Source organism: Homo sapiens, chromosome 5 (genome assembly GCF_000001405.40).
Source record: "Homo sapiens chromosome 5, GRCh38.p14 Primary Assembly".
Classification (NCBI taxonomy): domain Eukaryota; kingdom Metazoa; phylum Chordata; class Mammalia; order Primates; family Hominidae; genus Homo; species Homo sapiens.
Window position 1 is genome coordinate 159,448,024 of NC_000005.10, and position 23,444 is coordinate 159,471,467.

Below are 23,444 nucleotides of genomic sequence, written 5' to 3' on the forward strand. Positions count from 1 at the left end.
GGTAGATGCTGGCAGAGATGGGTACACTAATTACCCTGAGCTGATTATTACACAATGCATACATGTACCAAAACATCACACTGTATGTACCCCATAAATATGCACAATCGTTATGCATCAATTTCTTAAACAGACCAAAATGAATATGTGTCCCTGTGCCACGGGTTGCCTGTAGAGGTGCAGGGCTTCTTGCTGTCTGTTATGGAAGCAGTCGGGCCTTTTCCCGACTCCCAGTGAGATGGCCAGGAGATCTGGGGCTCAGTTTTCCTGAAACAAAGATAAGGACCCAGAGTGTGACTTCAGCTCACCATGTTGTTACACGTTAAAGCGTGGTCTTGGTGCCCGAACTAAATTTGAATCAGCTGCCTTCTATTAGGGCCTCCTTTCGAAGTCTCTGGTGGCCAAAGAAACACAAATTTATGACAGAGTGGCTTTGCTTTGTAAACTTAAGCCCTCAAAAGGGGACTTCACTGGGAATCTCTATTAAGATATTTATGAACTTCATTTTTTAAAAAAATAGTAAATATGATCAGCTTTGAATTATTTGATTTATTTTCATTAATTGCCAGTCATCCAAAAGAATTTATTGAGCACTTGTAGGTACCAGACACTGTTCTAGGCACAGATGTGAGCAAGATACATATGGCCCCTGTTCTAATGTAGCACACAGTGTGGTATTGACACAGAGTAAATGGGTAGTCGTAACATGGGGCTCTGAGAGGGGAAGGAAGCGGGTATCTTAGGAGATACTTAAAGGTCAGGGATGGCTTCATGGAGGAAGGAGTTAGCTGGATGAAGAGTGGTGGGAGCAATGTAGATGCCCAGGTGAGAGTGGGGCCAGCCTGGAGTGGAGAGGGCATTGAGCACACAGCTAGAGTGTCATAACCTGGGGAGGGCGGTTTAGGGAGGTGAAGGAGAGAGATGCTAGGGCTGCCAGAGCAAAGTATCACCGACTGGGTGGTTAAAACAACAGAAATGTATGTTCTCATCATTCTGGAGGCAGGAAGTTTGAGATCCAGGTGTTAGCTGGGTTGGTTTCTCCTGAGGCCTCTCTCCTTGGGTGGTAATGGCCATTTTCCTCTTTGCCTTCACATGGGCTTCCCTCTGTTCGTGTCTGTGTCCTTATCTCCTTTTTGTATAAAGACGTCAGGCATATTGAATTAAGGGCCCCCACACATGACCTCATTTTAACTTAATTACCTCGTTAAAGACTCTATCTACAAATACAGTCATGTTCTGAATTACTGGAGGCTGGGGCTTCAATGTATGAATTTTATGGGACACAATTCAGCCTGTAATGGATGCATAGTCACTGGATCAAGCAAGGCCTTGGAACCATGTTAAGAAACATGGACTTTATCTGGAAGGCAAGGGGGAGTCACTGAAGAGTCTTACACAGAGCGGCGATGCTCATGTTTACATTTGGCAGAGATCTTACAGCAGCGAGGGGAAAATTGGAGAAGGATAGAGTTGGGTTCAGAAGCTATGAGGATGTTGTCTAAGAAAATTCTTGGCAGAGGGAGATTAGGAGGTAGAAACTGCAGAACCTGTGATGGGTCACTCCTGAGGGGCAGAGCAGGGGAGTGTCAAGGTAAGCTGGATTTCTGGTTTGGGCCACTGGGTGCACCATGGAAATCTTCACTGAGAGTCGTGGTCTGGGTGAGGGAAAGGAGGTGAGTCCAACATTAGGGGGGCATGCTGAGTTTCAGGGCCCTTTGGGACATCTGAGTGGGGCAGGTCTCAAGCTCCTGAAATAATTCTGGGTTGGAGATATGGATTTAGGACTCATTAGCTTGGATGGTAGTTGAAGCCATGGGAATGGATGCGGGAGGGGGGCTAGCCATGAGTTTGAATATTCAGAAGGGAGCTGGCAACTCTTCTTACTAATGCTGGAGACGTGTATGTGCCCAGAATGACTAACACCTCCGCTCATATGAAGGCCCAGTTAATCTTCAAGCCCAGGTTTTCCTCTCTGAGGAACCACTGGGGTCCTGGGGTAAGAGAGGATCTTGGGTCTCCTGGGCATTTTCTCCCTTCCCAAGACCTGAGGATGTTTAATCAATTTTTGATAGTTGATGAGTCACTGGATGCCTTCCCAGCTGAGTCAGCGAAGGTACCCCTCCTGGGAAGCACAACCCAGGCAGTTCCAAGTACCGGCCTTGTTTATCAGAGGGATGGGACGAGAGGGTGAGGTGTGACTTCCCAGAGCAGCGAGCTTCAGTGTCTGACTACATGGGGCAAGGAAAGACACCAGTGGACAAAAGGTATTTGCTGGGCTTAAGGGTGCGTGACGCATGTTTTTGGTAGTAGTAGCAGATTTGTCTTTTTAAGATGTCTTTTTTGAGCCACTTTTAAAATAACAACAGCTGACATTTATAGAATCTTCATCAGCTTCCAGACAATGTGCTAAGCATTTTACCTGCATTGTCTCAATTCGTCCTTACAGGGAAGCACTGTGGTTATTCCGATTGTACTAAGGATGTGATAGAAGTCACACGATGTGACTTCTGAGGCTAGGACATGAAAGCGTCTACCTGGCTCTCTCAGTCTGTCTCAGGATGTATGCCAGGGAGCCACAAGCCAACTTGTGAAATGTTTGGTTACCCTGCAGGTGCTGTGCTGGAGAGAGCATGTGGAGAGACACCACAGAGAGTGATGTCCAAGGATCCTCTGCTGTTCTAGCCTCCAGATGTTTGGTACCAAATGGAGAGTGAGTGAGGCTTCCAACCCCACCTTTGAGCCACCCCAGCTGATCCCAGTAGAGCAGAGATGAGCTGTCCCCACCAAGTCTTGCCCAGATTGCAGATCTGTGAACAAATAAGAATTTTTGCTTGAAGCCTCTATGTTTTGGGGTACTTGGTCACGTAGCCCTAGGGCTAACTGAAGTATAGTGAGAAGTGACAAGATTCAAGGTTGTATAGCTGCTTAGGGGAAGAACAAAGAAAGTACACTCTCCTTGCATTCAAAGGATATTTCTTCAATTTGCTTGCAGTGTGACCTTTGGCAAGCTACTGAACCTCTCTGTGCCTCAGTTTTCTCATCTGTATGATAGGGATGAAGATGGTATTTCTTCAGAAGGTAGTGATGAGGAATAAATATCTCATTCTTGGCATGTAGGAAAAAGCTAGTAAGTAGCTGGGTTGGGGTTTCAATTCAGGCAGTCTAACCCTAGACTCTTTACTGGTAAGCTCAGGTCCAGAACATTCCCACCAATCCCTGAAAAGGAGGCCAGACGGCAATATCCCAGGTACTCCCATTATTTTCCCCCATACGGCATGATTCTGAGTCCTCCTTGGCCGCCCTTCTCTGTTCACTGGGCCTTGATACATGATTCTCTGAACTGAAGGCCGCACCATCACTCCTCTCTGTTTAGTGCAGCCCGAGATTACACTGGCTTTTTTGGCAGTCACATCACATTGTTGACTCATTCTGAGCTGGCAGTCAAAATCCTAAGTGTTTTTATCACATGTGCTAGCATCAAGCTGCATTCCTTCCCATCTAGGATTGGTGCAATTGGAGTTTTAAAAAATCCAACTGCAGAATTGTTTAGTTTATTAGATTTTGCTCATTGTGGTAGTGTGCCTAGGAAAGAATCCAGATGAGCTCCTCTCCAGGGTTCTCGGAGACACCCTGTATCCTTTTAATATACCTTTCCTTTATTTCTGTAGTCCATTTGAGTGGCTTACTGGTACTCACAACACAAAAAGTAAGCCATAGAGTGACTTCTGGGTGGTCCTTGCTCAGGAGGAAAAGAGGTGTGGCAGGGATGCTGTGGTAGAGGGCAGAGAAAGCAAATGGCAGGAGCGTGTGCCGGGTGCCACGTCTGAGCCGTGGCAGACCTTGCAGCTGATCATGACTCTCTTTTCTGCTGAGTCAGGAAATGGCCTCTACTTTGATTAGCTGCCACCTGAATAGGACAGAGTTGAGGACTGAGGACAGAGACTGCTTTCGAAGTGGACCCTGGCATAATTAATCAGGCTTCAAGCACATCGGTTGTTCGGATGGTTCCCAATTCCCCCAAATGTGCTGCCATCTTACCCTCATTTTCTCAGCTTGCCCACAAAGATAAAATGATATTTTTATCAAGTCTCATTTCTTGCTGAACTACAAGTTCTCTAAGTGGCCGCATCACTTGATCCTGCTACTCTGGCGATACTATGTACAGTGCTTGCTGAAGTGGTCACTCTGGTTGGTGGGTGCCACAGAAGGTGGGTGGCTCAGAGTGGACTGAAGAAAGTACCAGAGTCTGATGGACCTCATTTCTGCAGTCAGTGGTGAGGTGCTGGCTCCCATGGTGGGGGGATTTTCCCAGGTGCCTTAGCTCAGGAAACATATGGTGCTCAGTGGAATGGACCCTGGTGTGTCTCCAGTGGTCTGCATAGCTCCTGGGCAATATGGAAGGACAGTGCTGACTCAAGCAGAGCCTGAGCCATCTCTAGACGCTTTCCCACCTTGTCCTTGAGTCCTACAAATTAGGTCCTAATTGGTCTGTATTCTCCCCGCCCCCTTACTCTCCAGCCTAGGGACGTCTTTCCATTCTGGGAATAGGACGCCTTACCTTTACTCCACTCATATTCTCTCAAATATGTTGTATGTGCACGAAGCCTTCCTATTTGCCTATGCTTAAGCTCTTGAAGCTCAAGGTTAATCATTAACTTCTTTTTTTTGCCACCCCTTTGCTTTCTTTTATGTCAGCTCTTCCTTGAGGGAATGAAGGCAGACTGCTGGGCTGAACACAAAAAGGGGAGCAGCCCGGGGTAAAAGGAAATTCTAGAATAAAGAGCACATTGGTTAATAGCTTAGAAATGTTATCCCCCTAGACGAGTAATAGAAAGTTCCTCAAACTCGCCTCAGCAAATTATGGGAACTGATTGTAAGAGGCAGCTTAGGGAAGCCAGGGGTGGAAATGGCTGATTGGACCGGAAGTGGCACAGGCGCCTTGGGGACGTGCTCTCACAGCTTCTCACTTTGGGTGCCACAGTCTCTCATCTCTGGCTCCTCTGAATGTCTACCTCATCTCTTCTCTCTCTGGACTGGCTTTCACTGCATTGGTGGACGTATGACATGAGGATACCCAGCCCTGCCCATGGCCCAATTGCACCAATTAGAAAAGCTGCCCCTTCAAGAAATATTGTAATTGCCATCTGCCAGGAGACTCAGTTAAAAACACACAAATAAGTGAGGACCATACATGCTCAATGGACTGCTGCTGCACGTTTGTGTGCAGTGATGGCAAGTGGGACCCGGAACTCTGGCCTCTGCTTATCCTCAGAAGTGGGCGGCAGAGAAGGAGGAACGTGCTTGAGTCGCAGTCCCCAAAAAGGGAGGAACTCATTGGCCCAGCTTAGGCCTGGTGTCTGCCTACCTGTGGTTCAGTCAGCTGTGGTCGGTGGGCAGGACACACCTGAAGGAGCATATCTTGGCTGTGTGGGTTGGGCAGACATCCCACAATGCTCATGTAGGGGGATTCATCTCATTAACTCTGAGTGTTTCTTCGGCATTCCCCCACTATTTTTAACATATCATTTACAATATTGAATTAATAAGACTGGGAATGAAAGTTCTTTGACAGAACACACATGGTAGTTACTTTTGGGACTAATTGCTCTGCAGGTCGCCTCGTGCATTACCGTCTGCTATTTTTGCTTAAATTATATGTATCTGCTTTTATGTCACTTCCTAGGTAAACCTTACTTCCCCCTATAGGAAACATGGTTCACTCAAACAAAGTAAATAAAAGGGCTTTCCTGAAGGTGTGGGCAGATTTAAGGGAATCTGACAAGAAAAGTACGAGCTAAGAAGGTCTGGCAGCCACTCCCCTGCTAAGCTAGAACAGGCAGGAAGGGAGCACTTACTGGGGCCAGGTGGTGGTAGCTGTAGGGATGTAGGACAGGGCAACTCAGGGGACCTGTGGCCTCATGCAGAGGGAGGCAGCCAATCTATAGCCACCTATCAGGGAGGGAGCTGGGCAAATAAATGTCTCCATCTTGTTCTCCTCCTTCTTCTCTCCAATCTCCTGCCAGTGCCTCCACTGGTTGAACCTAGCTGGGAGCCAGTGGATCAAAGATCCAGTGGACCAAAGGATCCATAAATGTGATCCTCCTGGGGGTATAAAAAAGGATAGAAATAGGTGGAAAGTGGATCTGGGAGTGGCTAAATGGAAAATATCCAGGATGTTCCAAATTGCATTCCTCTGCTATATGCCTTCCCAGACCATTGCACTGCCCCATCACAATGCTCATCCTAGTTTGTCATATCTGCTGAAGGATTAGGCATGCAGAGCATATGCCTCATGGAAGTTAAGGACTGTATCTGACTTGTCATTGCTGTATGCCCAGAACCTATCCCTGCATCTGATTATCAATGATGTGTAATGGAGCTTGGAACGTGAATGGGCACATATGTCTGATGTCCTCACCTGACCATTCTTTGGGAGCCCTTTGGGGATAGTGAATCTCCCAGTACCCTACTTGGGCACAATAAGGACTATTTAGTGAAAGAACATTCACAATTGAGTGAATGGATGAATTCTAAGGGTGGATCACTTTGAAAATACCTGAATGTCAATCTCATGGTACCAAGTTTATATCAGAATTCAACCTCAAATTAACTAACTTCCATTCCAGATCTGTTCCTTTCTTGGTGACATGGCAGCATATACATGCCTCATTTTCTCCTGCCTTATATCCATATCCTCTTGGTCTGGTGGCACACCTTCCATTTCTTCACAAGCAACCTGGGATGATTAGCTTAGGTCCCCAGCCCAGCCCTACTCAATGGATGAGCTTCAACTAAGATGGGGACAAGGAGGCTCTCCTGGGATTTTGCCTCTCAAAACCATGGATCATGTGCCTCTCCTCTCCTTCCACTTTCTTTCTTTTTTTTTTTTTTTGGCTTAAATTAAGCAGAGGTGCCATTTTTTGCTTATATTCAAAGAACTCATATCCTCAGACACCAGGAGGGGAGTTCCAGACTTATGAGGCTATACAATGGTATGGTTAAGGTCTTGGGCATTGCAGCTACATTGCTTGGGCTTGGATCCCAGTTCTGCCATTTTTTGGCTATGTGACCCTAGGCAAGTTACTTATGTTCTCTGTGCCTCAGATTTCTGATCTTCAAAGTGGAAACATTAGCTGAGATAAAGCATGCAAACACTCTTAAAACAGTTTCTAGTGCATGGTGAACACGCAGTATATATCACAGGGTCTTGACCATCCAAGCAACTTGAGAAGAAAAAAAAATGATGGAATTATACTTCTTTAAACAAAAAAGAAAAAAATCACAAATCACAGAATAAATTGGAATGAATTCAATGAGTTTTCAAGGGCTGCTATGTCTTCCTACCCACTCTGATGTGGGGTATGTACAGAGAAAAACGAATCTGGAGCTGTTTCTAAAGGAGACATTTGAAAATGAGCTTGTGCCTTTTTATTTTTCAAGAAAAATCAGAGGCCAGTGGCTATATGTGCTGTTCTCTCTTTCTTTTCTGGGAAAGTTCATGAGTTCTTGGCCCCAAATAAGCTTAGTTCTCTACCGCTTCCCACAAGGAAATTAAATTTTCAGGTCCTGCACAAAAGTTTAGTTATCGCTAATATAATCATTGGTGCTGTCACTGTAGGTCTGTAGGAGCTGAGTGGAAGGATGGAATTTGACAGCAATAAAAAAGTTCTCCCTCTTCCCCTGCTCTCAGACACTTGGATACCCATTTACACATATGTGCACAATGTGACACACACCCTCAGGCACACATGCACAACCACACACACACATACATAAAGGGATGGCTTTCCCAGAGACAGTTATCCTGAGTGATGTTTTTAATCCTGAGTTTTATCCTGAGTGATTTTTAAAAAAACTAAATCCATCCAGTATTTTTGGGTGCCCACATAGCCAGAGCTGGGCATGGGGAAATGGGGAAGAAATTGGTGCTATAAGCATGATTAAAGCTGTAGTCCTGGTCCTGCCTTCTAGGAGATTCTGAAGCAGTGTTTTGGGAGTGAGAGACACCTACCAGTATCTAATAAAAGGTAGGTTGTGAAAAGGTTATATGAGAGGTTAAAAAGTTGCTAAAGGTTGCTTTGCTTTCTTTCTTTAATTTTTAATGTGACTCTGGAGTAGTTTCACAGGTTCTCAGTCTAGCTTTGGAGTCAACCAGCCTTGTTCTGCATTGGTCTGGATTTAAATACTGGATTTGCTGCTTATGAGTAGTGACACTTACTGAGCCTTGGTTTCCCAGTCTGTGAACAAGGTACGAACATCACCTGTCTATATGTGTTAAGATTGCATGTGCTGGAAATCACAGAGGTTAGATGGCAGTGACTTAACCAAATAGGAGTTTGTTTTTCTCATGCAATAAGTAGTTCAGAAGTGGGCAAGCCAGGGTTGGTACCATTGTTCCAGGGACTCATCAAGGACACAGGCTCCCAGAATCATCCAGAGCCACAGGGTGGCTGCCCTGGTTGCAGGCAAGATAAAGGGGAATGGAGAAAATGGCAGGAAGCTGAAGACGTGAGCCAGCCACATCTGTACCCCTTTGGAGAGCTTTCTGGAAAGCCCCATTCACTGACTACATCTTATACTTTGTTGGACACACTATGCCAAGATGACCAACACTATCTGCAAAAAAAAAGCTGGGATATCAAGTATTTTAACTGAACATATAGTTGCCTCAAACAAAATTGAAGTCCTGTCACAAAGGAGGAAGAAGAGACTCCAGCTGTATCTGCCACATGATATTGGGAGAGTTGTTGAAGAGATTCCCTGAGATAATTCATGCCAAACTCTTGGCCCAATGCCTGACATGTGGTGACTATTATTATTAGCTGGGACTCTCCCCATTGTCTTCTCAGAGGATCCTCCAGCAAGGTGACAAATGTAAATGCAGCCTCCTCAGTGTTCAGGGACTCCCCCTTCCACCAGCCACTTTCTGTCTGAATCTGAGTCATGCTCATGACTCAGGCCATCTCATCTCTTCCAGAAAGTCTCCCCTCACCTCTGTGGTCCTCCAAGATATCACCTGCTATTTTCAGAACCTGTAGCATGAAATGACTATATCACCCAAATGTAATTTCAAACATATTTCCTAGTGTGAATAGATCTATATCTCTGTGTTTATTTTTTCTCCCAACTAGGTTACAAGTATCTTGATGGCAGGAATTACATTTTATTCCTACAGCCCTGCCACAAAGCTCTGATTACTGGTTCTTATGCATCTCAGATGCCCACACTGAGTAGACTGTAGGACATTCTGAGGTAGCTAGCTTTTGTTTAATTTGCTGTTGGGCTGAAGTGTGGTGTGCCAGGGATTTGTTCATGTATGTGCAATAATGAATCATGCTCTTTTGGGCATTTGCTGTTTTTTTAAATGTTTTTTGAATTTTTTTATTGATATATAATGGGGTACATGTGATATTTTGTTTCATGCATCAAATGTGTAATAATCGAGTCAGGGTATTTAGGGTTTCCATCACCTTGAGTATTTGTCATTCCTCTATGTTGGGAACATTTTAATTCCTCTCTTCTAGCTATTTTGAAATATATAATACATTGTTGTTAATTATAGTTACTCTACTCTGCTATAAAACAGAACTTACTGTAACTCAGGAATGGAAAACCAAATACCATATGTTCTCACTTATAAGTGAGAGCTAAGCTATGAGGATGCAAAAGCATAAGAATGACATAATGGACTTTGGAGACTCAAGAGGAAGGGAGGGAGGGGGGTGGGGGATGAAAGACTGCATAGTGGGCAAAGACTACTGCTCAGGTGACAGGTGCACCAAGGGCATTTCCTGTTCTATCTGCATCAATTTTGGAAGCTCAGATAGCCAAGGTGTTGTCTAGTAACATACACCAGGGTGACCCCAGAACAAAGGGGGATCAAACGTGAGGTTTAGGCCAGGCGCGGTGGCTCACACCTGTAATCTCAGCACTGGGAGACCAAAGCAGGCAGATCACCTGAGGTCAGGAGTTCGAGACCAGCCTGGCCAACATGGCAAAACCCCATCTTTACTAAAAATACAAAAATTAGCTGGGCGTGGTGGTGGGTGTCTGTAATCCCAGCTACTCAGGAGGCTGAGGCAGGGAGAATTGCTTCAACCCAGGAGGCAGAGGTTGCAGTGAGCTGAGATTATGCCACTGCACTCCAGCCTGGGTGACAGAGCAAGACCCCATCTCAAAACAAAAAAACAACAAACAAACAAACAAACAAAAAACATGAAGTTTAGAATGCCCATCTGGAAGCATTCATTCATTCATTCATTCACTCGTTCACCATTTATGTTCCCGATGTATGCGAGGCACAGTTCTGAGGCCCTCCTGTTGCTGTGTCACCTCCCACAGCTGCTTCCCATCAGCTGCATCCCAAACATAAGAGGAGTGTGTTTAATCAGCAATACTCACTTTCTTCTGATTTTGACTCAAGGGTACTTCCCTGCACCCATCAATTTCAAAACCACTTCCTAAATCTGACTTAGCCACTTGATTTCATGGGGTGCCCTGTCAAATAATTGTGAAAGAAGAACATGAAGCAGGACTACTGTGGGTGGGAAAGCCCCATACTTACCTGCCCCTTTTCTAGCCAACTCATATCCTGGTCCCTTCGGGGTCCCCAGATGAAGTACCAGCAACCCCTTTCCCCACACCCCACCAGTTCAGTGGAAAGGACTTATCTTCAGGAAGATTGGATTTTATGCCTCAAAATGAATGAATTCAGCAAAGAATTTCTGAGCTCTTCTTACGTGTAAGGTACTGTGCCGGCATGGGTGACGAGAACACAGCTATATTAACAAATCAATCAAGTAACTGATTACATATTAGACTGTGCTAGCTGATGAGGATACTTTAATCTTTGTAAGATGGATAGAGCACTTTCTCTGTGCCAGGCCCCATGCTTAATGTCTTATGTACATTTTCTCCTTGGATACTCTAAGGATTCACATCAACACTCTGAACAGGTTGAAGATAGAATGATTATCCTCTACCTGCCCCTTCCCTCCTGCTTTGTGTAGAACCCATCAAGGAGTGGAGAGGGCTGGAGATCTAAAAACAGGATCTAAATCCTGGGAAGAGACCACTTGTCTGTTGGGGTGCCCCATGCCAACATGAGGTGGCCTCAGTTGAGCAGTATGCTGGCATTTTGAGTGGAAAGGATTTGAGATATTCCCCAGTACTCTGTCTCTGAGTTTCCCTCAGGTCCAGTGGGTGTGTGTGAGATCTGAAAATGTTCAATGCCCTGTGGTAGAGTAGAGGAAGGTAGTTAAGAAGTCAGAACCAGTTATTTGCATGGGATCATTGTGATGTGGTTTGAGGGGACACTGTGGCAGAGTCTTAGTATGGATGAGCCAAAAGTTGGGGCTGAGAGAGAGAGCACAACAGGATCAAGAGAACCAAGTGGAGGCCGAGTCACAGGGAGGACAACCTACATTTACTGTGCCACTGTCGCATCAGCTGTGGACACTTTAGAAGTGTGTGTGATAAGGAAAAAAGCCAATGCCCAGCCATGACATTGGGTGTTACCTAGACCAGCCAGGATGACAGGTGTTACCTGCCTGGAACAGATGCCCTTCCCAAGGAAGGGGAGAACAAGTCAGGAGGGTATAACAAGTCTGGGAACTTAATTTCGCTCCTGGGGAGACAAGAAGGAGAAAAGGGAGAGAGAGAACTTTCAATTCAGGTGAATAAATTACTCAAAAGAGATGGGCTGTAATCTCTTTTGAGTGGTGTTATCTTGATGTAAAAAGATTGATTTGGTTTTTTTGTGTCAATCATAGAAACAGTTTTTCCAGAATTGTGACTGTGAATTTTATACCCACAACAGGAGTTTAGGTGAAAATATCCTCAACTATTTTCTTTTCTAATCTTTTGCTCTTGGCTTCCTTCTCAGAGTGCCTCCTCATAACCTGACGCACCTGCCAGGACCAAAGTAGATCTTAAACATATAAATAATGGCTGAGGTTTCATCCTTAGACTGCATGGTTTCCCCCAGGGGAGTACATATTTATATTCTTCTTTTAATCAATGGAGAAACCAGAGGATGACTCATTCCCTCAGAGTGGAAGAGGAAGTCATGGTGCCCTTGACTAGAGTCCCTCCGGGTTTTGGTTTCTTCTCGGTGGGGTTGCAGCAGCCCTGTAAGGAATGCATGAGGGAAGGGGGCAAAAGGTGCTGGGAAGAGAGATGGTGGCTGTTTGGACAAAGGGCTCTTTCTGTCAGTGGCTCCATCTCCACCCAGACTCAGGCTCCCGTTCAGAAGTTCAGCTCTCTTCCTTTCACCCACTCTGAGATTCACATGCTCACACTCAAAGCTATTCCCTCACCACCAGGGCTGGGAGGGACCCTGCCTACAAGCCCTTTCCTCTTCCAGATGCTGAAAGAAGAAGTAATTATAGAAAACAAACAAAACAAAACAAAACAATGGCAACACTATGGAGACAGTGAAAAGACCAGTGGTTGCTAGGGGTTAGCCTGGAGAGAGTAATAAATAAGCACAGTGCAGAGAATTTTTAGGTCAGTGAAACTACCCTGTATGAGACTATCATGGTGGATGCATGTCATCATACATTTGTCCAAATCTACAGTATGTACACCAAGGGTGAACCCTTATGTGGTAGTCTCCCTTATCTGAGGTTTTGCTTTCCAAGGTTTCAGTCACCTGTGATCAACTGTGGTCCAAAAATAGTAAACAAAAATTCCAGAAATAAACAATTGGCAAGTTTTAAATTGCACACCATTCTGAGTGGCGTGGATGAAATCTTGAGCCATCTTGCTCTGTCCTACCTGGGACTTAAATCTTCCCTTGGTCCAGCATATCCACACTGTCTATGCTACCCACTCGTTAGGACTGAAAAACATATTGTGTATGGGGTTCAGTACTATCCCAGGTTTCAGGCGTCCACTGGGGGTCTTGGAACTATTCCTTGGGGATAAGCGGGCACTACTGTATACATTATGGACTTTGGGTGATGATGTGTCGATGGAGGTTCATCAGTTGTAACCAATGCACCACTGGGGTGGGAGATGTTGATAATACAGGAGGCTACGCTTGTGTCAGGGCAGAGGGTGTATGGGATATTCCGTACCTTCCTTTCAATTTTGATATGAACCTAAAACTGCTCTAAGAAATTAAAGCTTTAAACAACAGCAACAGTAACCTATCCTATAGAAAGCAGTGGGGGCAGCTTCATCCTTCCCCTTCTCAAAGCATAAAATAATTGCACCTAATTTTTTTTTTTAACCAATGAGGTATCTGGGGAAATTGAAATGGAGAGATCCTCATGGTGTAGATTCAACTTATGGAAACTCAATATACCAACTTACAAGCCGGATCATTTAGGAGGTGATACTTTATTTTATAGGCAACTGCATTACTTCAACACAGGATTCCTATCAACATAATTCCCTAAGGCATTTAAGAATTTGCTTATAGATCATGACTATTTTAGAGAAAGCAGAGGCAGGCAGAAAATCATTTTGGAGCCATCATCTGTTATAATTCTGGCAGAAGTAAAGTAAAAAGATGAAGTATCTCTGAAATCAAGTAAATCAATAGGAAAACAGGATGGATTTCCCAAATTCAATTTATACACAACTTTTTATAGCATTATAAAATATAGGCCGGGCACAGTGGCTCATGCCTGTAATCCTAGCACTTTGGGAGGCCGAGGCGGGCAGATTGCCTGAGCTTAGGAGTTCAATACCAGGCTGGGCAACACGGTGAAACCCCATCACTACTAAAATACAAAAAAAATTAGCCAAGCCTGGCAGCGTGCACCTGTAGTCCCAGCTATTCAGGAGGCTGAGGCAGGAGAATTGCTTGAACCTGGGAAGCGGAGGTTGCAGTGAGCTGAGATTGTGCCACTGCACTCTGCCTGGGCGACACAGCGAGACTCCATCTCTCCAAAAAAAAAAAATTAACCTTTCCAAAGACTCAACGTTGACTATATATGCTGAACTAGACAGTTTATTTGCATGAATCCTCCTAACAGCCATGAGAGGTAGCTATCAGTCTCCTCATTTTATAGATGAATAAACCGAGGCCTGGGATAGGGAAAAGACTTGTCGAAGGTCACAGATGTTTCAAGTTCGTATTACTGTAGTCCATAAATCCAACTGTGTGTGTGGCTCTTTTTTGGGAGCATGGGGAACAAAACACAAGGGGCTAGTCAGCATTCACTCCTCTATTTGAAAAATATTCTTTAAAAAGGAAACTATTTTTGGATAGGGAATTAAAGAGTAAACATGAGTCTCTGCTAGTTTATTTTCACTGAGTGCACACACTCCTCCAACGATAATTCATTCAGGATGTGAGCTGGAACTCATTAGAAGTCACCAGGCCTGGGGGAGTAGATAAAACCACGATTAAAGACATCTGAGCCCTTTAGGACAATTTATTATCTTGGATTTCATATTTAATAGGAGACATTAATTCACAAAAGAAGTCCTCAGGGCAAGCAAATAATGCCCTATAATTGCTGTAGGGCTCTGGGGTTTCCAAGCATGCACTTGCTCCTGGGCTGGGCGAGGTCCTAGGTTTGCTGGGAGGTTCCAGGCCCAGGAACTCCTCTGAAGCTCTGTCAGTTTGGCATTGCAGGAGGAAGAGCTCTTGCCAAAAACCAGAACATAGCTTCAAGTTATTTGTTATAAGTTGGCTATTTTTTTTTCCTCAAAAGCCTCTCCATTCATGCCAATGGGAGGGGAAACAACCCAGTAGATAGGTCTGAAGCATTAAAACAGGTGACAGAGTGGCTATTCTTTTTTTTTTTTTTGAGACAGGGCCTCACTCTGTCACCCAGGCTGGAGTGCAGTGGCATGATCACGGTTCACTGCAGCTTCGACCTCCCTGGCTCAGACATTCCTCGCATCTCTGCCTGCTGAGCAGCTGGGACTATAGGCTCACCACCATGCCTGGCTAATTTTTGTTATTTATTGTAGAGACGAGGTCTCACCATGTTGCCCAGGCTGGTCTTGAATCCCTGGGCTCAAGGGATCCACCCGCCTTGACTTCCCAATGTGCTGGGATTACAAGTGTGAATCAATGTGCCAGGCCAAGAGTGGCTATTCTGAGAGCCCTGTTTTCCATGGTAGCGAAGTGTGTAAGAATGATCCTTGGTGGGCCTCTGGTCCCCTGTTTGTGAAACGAAGAGTTTGGATGACAGAGTCTCTAAAGTCCTTTTCAAATCTGTGGCAGAGTTAGAGAGGCAGAGTGGGGAAAAGCGTCCTGGAGTTCAAATCCCTGCTCAGTCCCTTCCTGCATGTGGAATGTTGGAACTATAATCACAATACCAGCAAAAGAGTGTTGATTATCTACTAAGTGCCAGACATTATGCTGAATCCTAGAAACACTGAGGCGATCCTATGAAGTAGGTACTGCAATATCTCCATTTCATTGTTGAGGCAACGGGAGCATAAAGGGACTAAGTGACTTGCACAAGGTCATATGGAGCAGGATATTTTGGATCCAGGTAGTCTGACTTCAGCATCTGCACTTCTACCCACCACCATCTTCACCCATAAGATGGGATAACTGCCCACCTTATAGCGTTATAGTGAGGATGAAAGGTTGTCCTGAATCAAAGTGCTTAGCATGGATAGTTCCTGACCCATAGTAATAGCTTGTGAAGTAAATTGGGTTTGTTTAACTGGAGAAGCTAATGAGAATAGGAGACTTAATTATTGCCTTCAAATATATGAAAGATTTTTAATGATTCACTTATGTTTGATGAATATCAAGCCTCCACAGAGCCAGACTAAATGCTTTGTATTATTCTTAAGTCTGTGTCATCCAGGAAGAAAATTCAATTTAAACAGGAGAAATTTAATTAGACATAAAAATAACTTGACCTTCATACTGGGTATAAAATTTCAGAATAAATGATTGCAATTAGCTGTGAAGTTTGTATACATGATGTTGAAATAGAGAATTACTATTTGAAGGCCTGCCATGGACAATTGTGCAAGTTGTTTACTGCACGTAACCAGGGACTGCCATTTACACCATAGTCTATGTGAATGGTACCCTCTGGAGATGTGCAATACATAATTTGCATATCCTTTTATCCTGACTATTAACCCTGAAATGTTTAGATTGAGGCTGGTCCCATTCTAGCTGTAGGAATCCATGGCTTTGAATGAAAGTTGAGAGTTCAGACAATTATCTAAGAAAGGTAAATATGTGTTTTGTACAATATGACTCACCACTCAGGATTCCATGGCAGTCACAGATAGTAGACCAAGGCCTCAGAATCTTCTCAATGCAACACTCCAGGGAATTGCTATCAACAAATCAGATCTGCCACTTTATCTAAAACACAAAAGCTGTTTAACATAGTGATCAGAAGCCTAGGCTGGAGCTATAATGACTGGGTTCAAATCTAAGCTCTGATACTTATTAAACTGATGACCTTTGAATCAGAAAGGAAGCATTTTACTGCAAATAATAGAAACCAAACTAAAAGTGTGTTAACAATAAGAAAAAATTGTTAGCCCCCTTTTTATAACCTAAGAAGCATGCACACGTGTGTATACACACACATACATTTTATATTTTTAACATCTCTGATATGAGGTATGTTATGCAATTGCTGTTGCTAAGCATTGCCTGCCCTTGTGCTTCGAACCTGCAGAATGGTGATGGCCTCTTGGGAACAACTCCAGAGATTACAGAAGGGCACTTTCTTAAGAAACACAGCATCACCAATGTTCTTCATGTTACAGAGGACAAGCGTATGTGGAAAAACTAGAACATTGATAACTCTGATTGGACAAGTGATTCAAGAGAGTTTGACTCAATGTAAAGCAGATTTAGGAATACCTTGACTAATTTACTTTATTTATGTATGTATTTATTTATGTATTTATTTATTTTTGGAGATGGAGTCTCACTCTGTCATCCACGCTGGAGTGTAATGGCGCTATCTTGGCTCACTGCACCCTCTGCCTCCTGGGTTCAAGCAATTCTCCTGCCTCAGCCTCCCAAGTAGCTGGAACTACAGGCGCACGCCACCACACCCGGCTAATTTTTGGTATTTTGGTACAGACGGGATTTCACTGTGTTGCCCAGGCTGGTCTCAAACTCCTGAGCTCAGGCAATCTGCCTGCCTTGGCCTCCCAAAGTGCTAGCATTACAGGCATGGGCCACTGTGCCCAGCTAAATTTACTTTAAATTAGTAAATTTATATTTAAATTTAAATGCACAGGAGTGATATGTGGTATAAAAAATCTAGGCATAAGTAAATCTAAATGGACTTTTTCATTAGCTATATTCAAAAATTCTAAAAGTATATTCTAAAAATATATTCTAAAAATTCTAAATGATAATATAGCATCATAGTTAATTTGACAGCATTACAATTTTTTTTAGTCAGAGACAATGTAATGGTGCATCTCACAATTGATGGCATCTTAAATGAGAAGAAATGTGGCATATCATATTACAAGGCCAGAGAAAAGACAGTGCTGGGGTTGGCCAATTTGGCAGCTTAATAACATTGTTAAGGACAAATTTCTTTTTATTCTTTTAGGCTGTCATCCTCCTTCTATCAGCTTGTTCTTTGAGCTGACTCCTCTTGTTACTGGCTGGGAAGTCTTGACTATGAGTTGTTCAGGTTCTTGGCACATTGAGCAAAGAATTGAACAAAATGCACAAACAAAGCAATGGAAGATGAAGGCACAGATTTGTTAATATTAAAGCGAAAGTATATTCCATAGAGTGTTTGTGGGCTTGAGCAAGCAGCTCAAGAGCCTTGAGTATAATGTCCCCTGGGGTTTTTATTAACTAGAAGAACTTAATAACACCCTTTAGAGGCTTCCAGTTGGTTAAACCCTATGCGAATGAAGAATTGGCCTGTGACCAATCAGAGGCTAGAGCCCCTATGCAAATGAAGGCTTTGCCTGTGGCCATTCAAAGGGCTAGGTAAAGGCTGGGCTCATGGCCAATCAGAGGCATTTCCTATTTGTTGACGGGGAAAGGAGTTTTGCTGAGGGAGGGGCCTCCAGCCCATTTTCACCTGGGCATGGAGAGGTGGGGTTTTCCTTTTGGTTCAATTCTAAGAAGAGAGCCATGAGTTGCTCTTAAGCTCCCTGTCTCTAGACCCTATTCTCCTACCTTACTCTCATGATTCTATGAAGACTGCTGCAGTTCTAGGTACTCCAGACAGATGACAATGTCCAGAGACAGAAAGAAAGTCTCTCTCATGTATCTCCTTTTAGTCTGCAAGGATTCCTAGCAGACTTCTTTTCATTTCTTCTTGTGTACAATTGTGTCTCATATGCATAATCATGACCAATGCGAATGGGATTACCATTGACTTAAGCCAATTATGACGTCCCCCTGGGCCTAGGGTAGGACTCCACTCCCCTGCAACACACGATCCTCTGAACAAAACTGAGGTTCTTCTAGCAAGGAGAAGACAGGGAGAATGACTATCAGTTAGTCAATCAGAAGTATCCACCATACTCCGCAAATTGCTTATCTTTTTTGGCTTTAGTATTTTCATGTGTAAAATGGCAATAGTAATAATAATAATAATGACAACTACCTCAAAGGGTAGTGAGGATTAAATAATGCATGTAGGGCTGAGCACAGTGGCTCATGCTTGTAACCCCAGCACTTTGGGAGGCCTAGATAGGAGAATTGCTTGAGGCCAGGAGTTCAAGATCAGCCTGGGCAACAAGGCAAGACCTTATTTCTAAATATATATATGTGTGTGTTTTATATATATATATATATATATTTATATATATGTATACTGCTTGTATATATATACTGCTTATATATATATAAACTGCTTATATATATATAAACTGCTTATATATATATAAACTGCTTATATATATATAAACTGCTTATATATATAAATAAACTGCATATATATATATAAATAAACTGCATATATATATATATATATATATATATATATATATATATACTGCTTAGAATAGTGCCTGATATATGGTAAGGGCTCAAGAGATGTTTAGCATTGATTGATACTGTTCCTGTTTTCACTGTTGTTATCATTATATTACCCTATATCTAGATAGGCAAAGTCTCAACCTGCCACTGAAGAAAAGGAAAATGAGGGCTTAAACTAGCCTTAGATATTAGTACAGATAGTCGTTGGTCAACAGACTTTTTTCTTGAGCAAGTCCTCTATACTAGGTATTGTTCCCAATGTAGAAAGAATTCAAAACACAGCTCTGAGGAGTTTATGTTCTGGTTGTAGAGGCAACTAGAGAGTTGGAAAAAAAAGTAGAGATCTCTTGCCTTCTAGCCTCTTCGTATACTCTTTCCTTTGTCTGAAACACAATTTATCACCACCTCTCTCCTACCTTAGCCTGGTGAACTCGTATTCACCTTATTACGTCAGCTTAATTGCTTCCCTGACCCCAGATTTTAGGTAAACTGTCTATGCGAATGCTTTCATAATTGCCATCATAATAGCAATATTATATTGAAGTGTGTCAGTCTTTTGTCAGTCTTCCCACTTTATGTCTAACTTCCATGAGGGCAGAGACTATGTCTGTCTGTTTCATGACTGTATCTCCTATTCACAGTGCCTGATACAAATGTAGGCAGGCAGGGTGAACCTGTTGAATAAGGGAGTGAATAAAGGAATGTGTTTCACTTAGAACTCTTTCTGTTGTAAGTGACAGATATAACCTGGTTTAATTAAAAAAGAGATTTATAAATCTCATAACTGAAAAGCCCAGAGGTTGGTCTGATTTCAGTCGTGATTTGATTTAGGGGACTCAAATGATGGCATTAATATTCTGTCAGATCTGCCTTTTCCAGTGTGGGTTTCATTTCCAGGCTTCCCATGGTGTTCTTGGCACTTCCAGAGTCTCATCTTTCCAATTCACCTACAAAGGCAAAGAACATATGCCTCTCTCCCACCAGTTCCACCAATATGTGATTCTCACTGGGTCACATGCCCATCACTGAAAGAGTCACTGTGACCAAAGCTGGACTTGAGGTGGGATTTTTCTCCACGGAGTACGTGTACGGTAACCTTACATGTTACCTGAGAGTGCGGGATGTAGTGACTCCCAGGGATAAGTTTGGGATATTATAATTAGAAATGGGGTAAATAGATGCCGGACCACAAAACAACAGATGTTCACTATAGAATGAATGACTGAATCATACAGGACCATGTGATAAAATCAGATGTAGAGAAGAAAGTCCTGCAGAATTTGTGGTAGGATAGAAAAATGCACCCGCCCCTGCACCCCCCACCCCCGGACTTGTTAATATATTACCTTACATGGCAAAGAGGAATTTAGGTTGCAGATGGAATTAAGGTTGCTAATCTACTGATCTTAAAATAAGGTTATCTGGGATTGTTTGGATGGACTCACTGTAATCACAAGGGTCGTTAAAAGGGAGAAACAGAGGTACAAGAGGAGGGCAGAGTGCTGTCATGTGAGAGGAATTCAACCCTCTGTTGCCGGCCTTGAAGATGGAGGAAGGGGGCCATGAACTAAGACATTCAGGTAGCCTCTTGCAGGTAGAAAAGACAAGGAAATGGATTTTCTCCTAGAGCCTCCAGAAAGAAACACAGCCCTGTTGACACCTTGAGTTTAGCCCAGTGAGACCCATGTTGGACTTCTGGCCTAGAGAATTGTGAGATAATATATTTGTGTTGTTTTAAACCACTACATTTGTGGTAATTGGTTATAGCAATCAAAAACTAATGGCGTTTAAACAAAATAACAGACAGTTCTCATAGAAAGAACAAATGAATGAATGAATGAATGGTACAAGACCATGTAATGAAATCAGGGATAGAGAGAAAAATGCTACAGAGTTTCAAACAGGGAGAGCTTTTTGTTGGTGTAGTCAAGAAAGGGCTCTCAGAGAAGGCAGGATGGTAGCTACAGTATTTTATGAGCTTCACACACAAAAAAGAGGGATTTGGGGCTGAGAAAAGTGGAATGTTCAAAGGCAGGAATGAATCAACACATTGGGAACTTCACTGAAATTGCAGGTTGTGGTGGGAGAAGGGTATGAGATGGGGTTGGGTAGGTAAGAAAGGGGGTCTGATGGAGCTTCTGCAAATCTGGGAGGAGATGTTTCCATTTATTCCAGTTAGCCATGAGAAGGCAGTGTAGGTTTTGAGCAGAAGCCTATCATGGTGCACACACACAGAGGTGCCCAGGATGAACTGGGGACAAAGGAGACCAGAGATGAGCCAGGCTGGCAATGTGGAAATGCTGGGTAGGTAGCCTGTCTGCAGGATCCATGGGTGACTCTCTGCAATTGAGTAGAAATGGGAGTGAAAATTACAAAGAAAGCAGAGAATCCTGGAAGGCAGGGAATCTTCACTTGGGGCTCATGGGTCCTCTCTCCTCTGTTCGTGATTTCAGGGAGTCAATGAGACTCCCAAGATTAGATGCACAGTTAGGGGTTTTGTGAGTTTTTCTGGGGAGAGGGCCACATCCTTTATCAGATTTTCAAAGGGCTCTGTGACTCGAGACAGGTAAAAGTCACTGATGTAAGTTTAAAAAATATGCTTTATTGAAGAATAATACACATGTAGAAAAGTGCACATGTCATAAATGTACAGCTTGATGGACTTGCATAAACTGAATACCCCTGAGGAACCAGCACCCAGATAAAAAATCAGAATCATACCAGCACTCTAGAAGTTCCTTCTCAAGCCCTGCCCTCTTCCTGCCACAGTAACCACTGCTTTGATTGCTAACTCAGCTGTAAGGTATTAAGCCAGGGCTGTATCATGTTCGACCTCCTAGAAATTGGACCACCATTATTAAAAGCAACTATAGGCTAGAAAACACATATTGTGGATTTTCTCCAGGGGATTTCAGATAGAATTGGATGAGAAAACCACTGTGGTGCTTTGCAATCATCCCCAGGTTGTTTTGACACTGGGCAGGACTGCTCCAAGCAGTTTCCTTCCCTGGGTTTCTAACCCTCTGACATGCAGCCAAAGCTGTGCTTCCCGCGCCGGGCTGAAAATCTCTGTGCTTCACTCCATTTGCTGCATTAGTCACCGTAATCCTGGGGGCTGGGCCACGGGAAGAACAAAATCTAATTTGGGCATTTCATTTTATGAGTTGATCATTATTTGGTTTCCTTTCCTGGTTCAGAATCAAGGGCCAAGAACACAGGCTCTTAAGTACATAGTTACCATGGCATGTTTTTATGCTGCAGCGAGTGGCTAAAACACATTGGAGGGTAAGAGGATTAGACAGCAAATGGCACCCGCTAAATGTGAAGAGCGAGTCATCCTGCAAGGGGGTTACAGTGCACTCCAGCAGGCCCGATGCTGGAGGGGACATGGATGGGCTATAATAGGGTTCAGAACTGATCTATTTGCGTTTTCAAACAACAGTCAAGTGAATAACAGTAACTGGATTACAGATTCGGCTTCTGCCTAAGCACATAAAAGCAGAGAACCCAAAACAAAAGAAATGAGACAAAGGTTTTGTGGTATCACCAAGAATTAGGGATTCTGGCAGGAAGAAGAACCCCCCAGAAAGAAATTAAATTTCCTTAGAGAAACAGAGAGGGAGGGAACATAACCATACCCTCCTTGGTCCCATTCCTGGTGCCCCCACCCTTCCCACTGACCACATTAGATATCTCTGAGGTCAGAGACCATTGCAATGGGTTTTGTGGGACTGCCCTAATTCTCGAGTTTGGTTGGGATTTTGTGGCATTGATTTCCGTTAGATTTGACATCGCCTGGCCTCTCAAACTCTTTTTGTTTTGGAAAGCGTTTTATTATGATGGTATTTATTCTACTTGGCAGGGCCTCACTCTGGAGAGGTCTGTGAAGAAAGTGGGATTTGTTGGTATGACTTCTTCCCCACCCTCTCTTGGCCAAGCCCTTCTTCTCTTTGCATTTTCCTTCCACTGCTTTTCACATTTCTGCTGTCTCTCTCTCTCTAACCCCGAACTGGCCCTACAGGCCAAGGAATCGCCAGCCTTTTCCAGGACCTGAGCTGAGTTTTCATGTAAAAAAGCTGTCACAGAAAGAGATAGTACTTTTAGTGTCACCTGCTTTTTTTTTTCTTCTTTTTTTAGAAAATATATGGTCAAAGCTAATAGGATCTCAGAAAAGCCCTTAAAATGTTTATTTTCCCTAATTATAATGGGAAATAAATAAAATATATTTATATTACCATAAATAACATACAAAATCAAGGTGCTTTAATATAAAAAAATCAAGATGCCCTGAAAACTTCCATTTAAATGTCACAGAGTGAACAGATGTATTAATTTTGGTTTCTTCCCCAAACTCAGCTAAAATGACATTGATTGAATGAAGGTGGTAAAACCCACAAAGACAAAGAAAGTGGGAAAATGAGAGAAGTCAACAGAATGCAAGCTGGGATGCAGAACTCATAAGGGTCTTCTTAGAGCCAAAGGAAAGCCTGGGAGGCAAGAGGATAGAGAATCATAAAGAGCAAGTCAGCTCACC

The 23,444-nt window shown here is 43.4% G+C and overlaps 1 long non-coding RNA gene across 1 annotated transcript, besides 2 other annotated features; it reads right to left on the bottom strand.

The window, feature by feature from the left end:
- Nucleotides 1–532: 532 nt before the first annotated feature.
- On the bottom strand, nucleotides 533–18,253 carry LINC01845 (long intergenic non-protein coding RNA 1845). Its single transcript, NR_027110.2, has 7 exons — nucleotides 18,104–18,253; nucleotides 16,195–16,314; nucleotides 11,518–11,626; nucleotides 10,402–10,778; nucleotides 5,366–5,508; nucleotides 4,559–4,770; nucleotides 533–1,433 (listed from the first exon to the last, which is right to left on the bottom strand). It is a non-coding gene; the product is annotated as a long intergenic non-protein coding RNA 1845 (long non-coding RNA).
- Nucleotides 8,768–9,107: an enhancer, noted in NCBI's record as "active region_23548". NCBI's record gives its function as "activates an Ori minimal core promoter by ATAC-STARR-seq in GM12878 lymphoblastoid cells {active_cell/tissue: GM12878}" and the evidence as "EXISTENCE:reporter gene assay evidence [ECO:0000049][PMID:35858748]".
- Nucleotides 10,620–10,789: an enhancer, noted in NCBI's record as "active region_23549". NCBI's record gives its function as "activates an Ori minimal core promoter by ATAC-STARR-seq in GM12878 lymphoblastoid cells {active_cell/tissue: GM12878}" and the evidence as "EXISTENCE:reporter gene assay evidence [ECO:0000049][PMID:35858748]".
- Nucleotides 18,254–23,444: the final 5,191 nt, after the last annotated feature.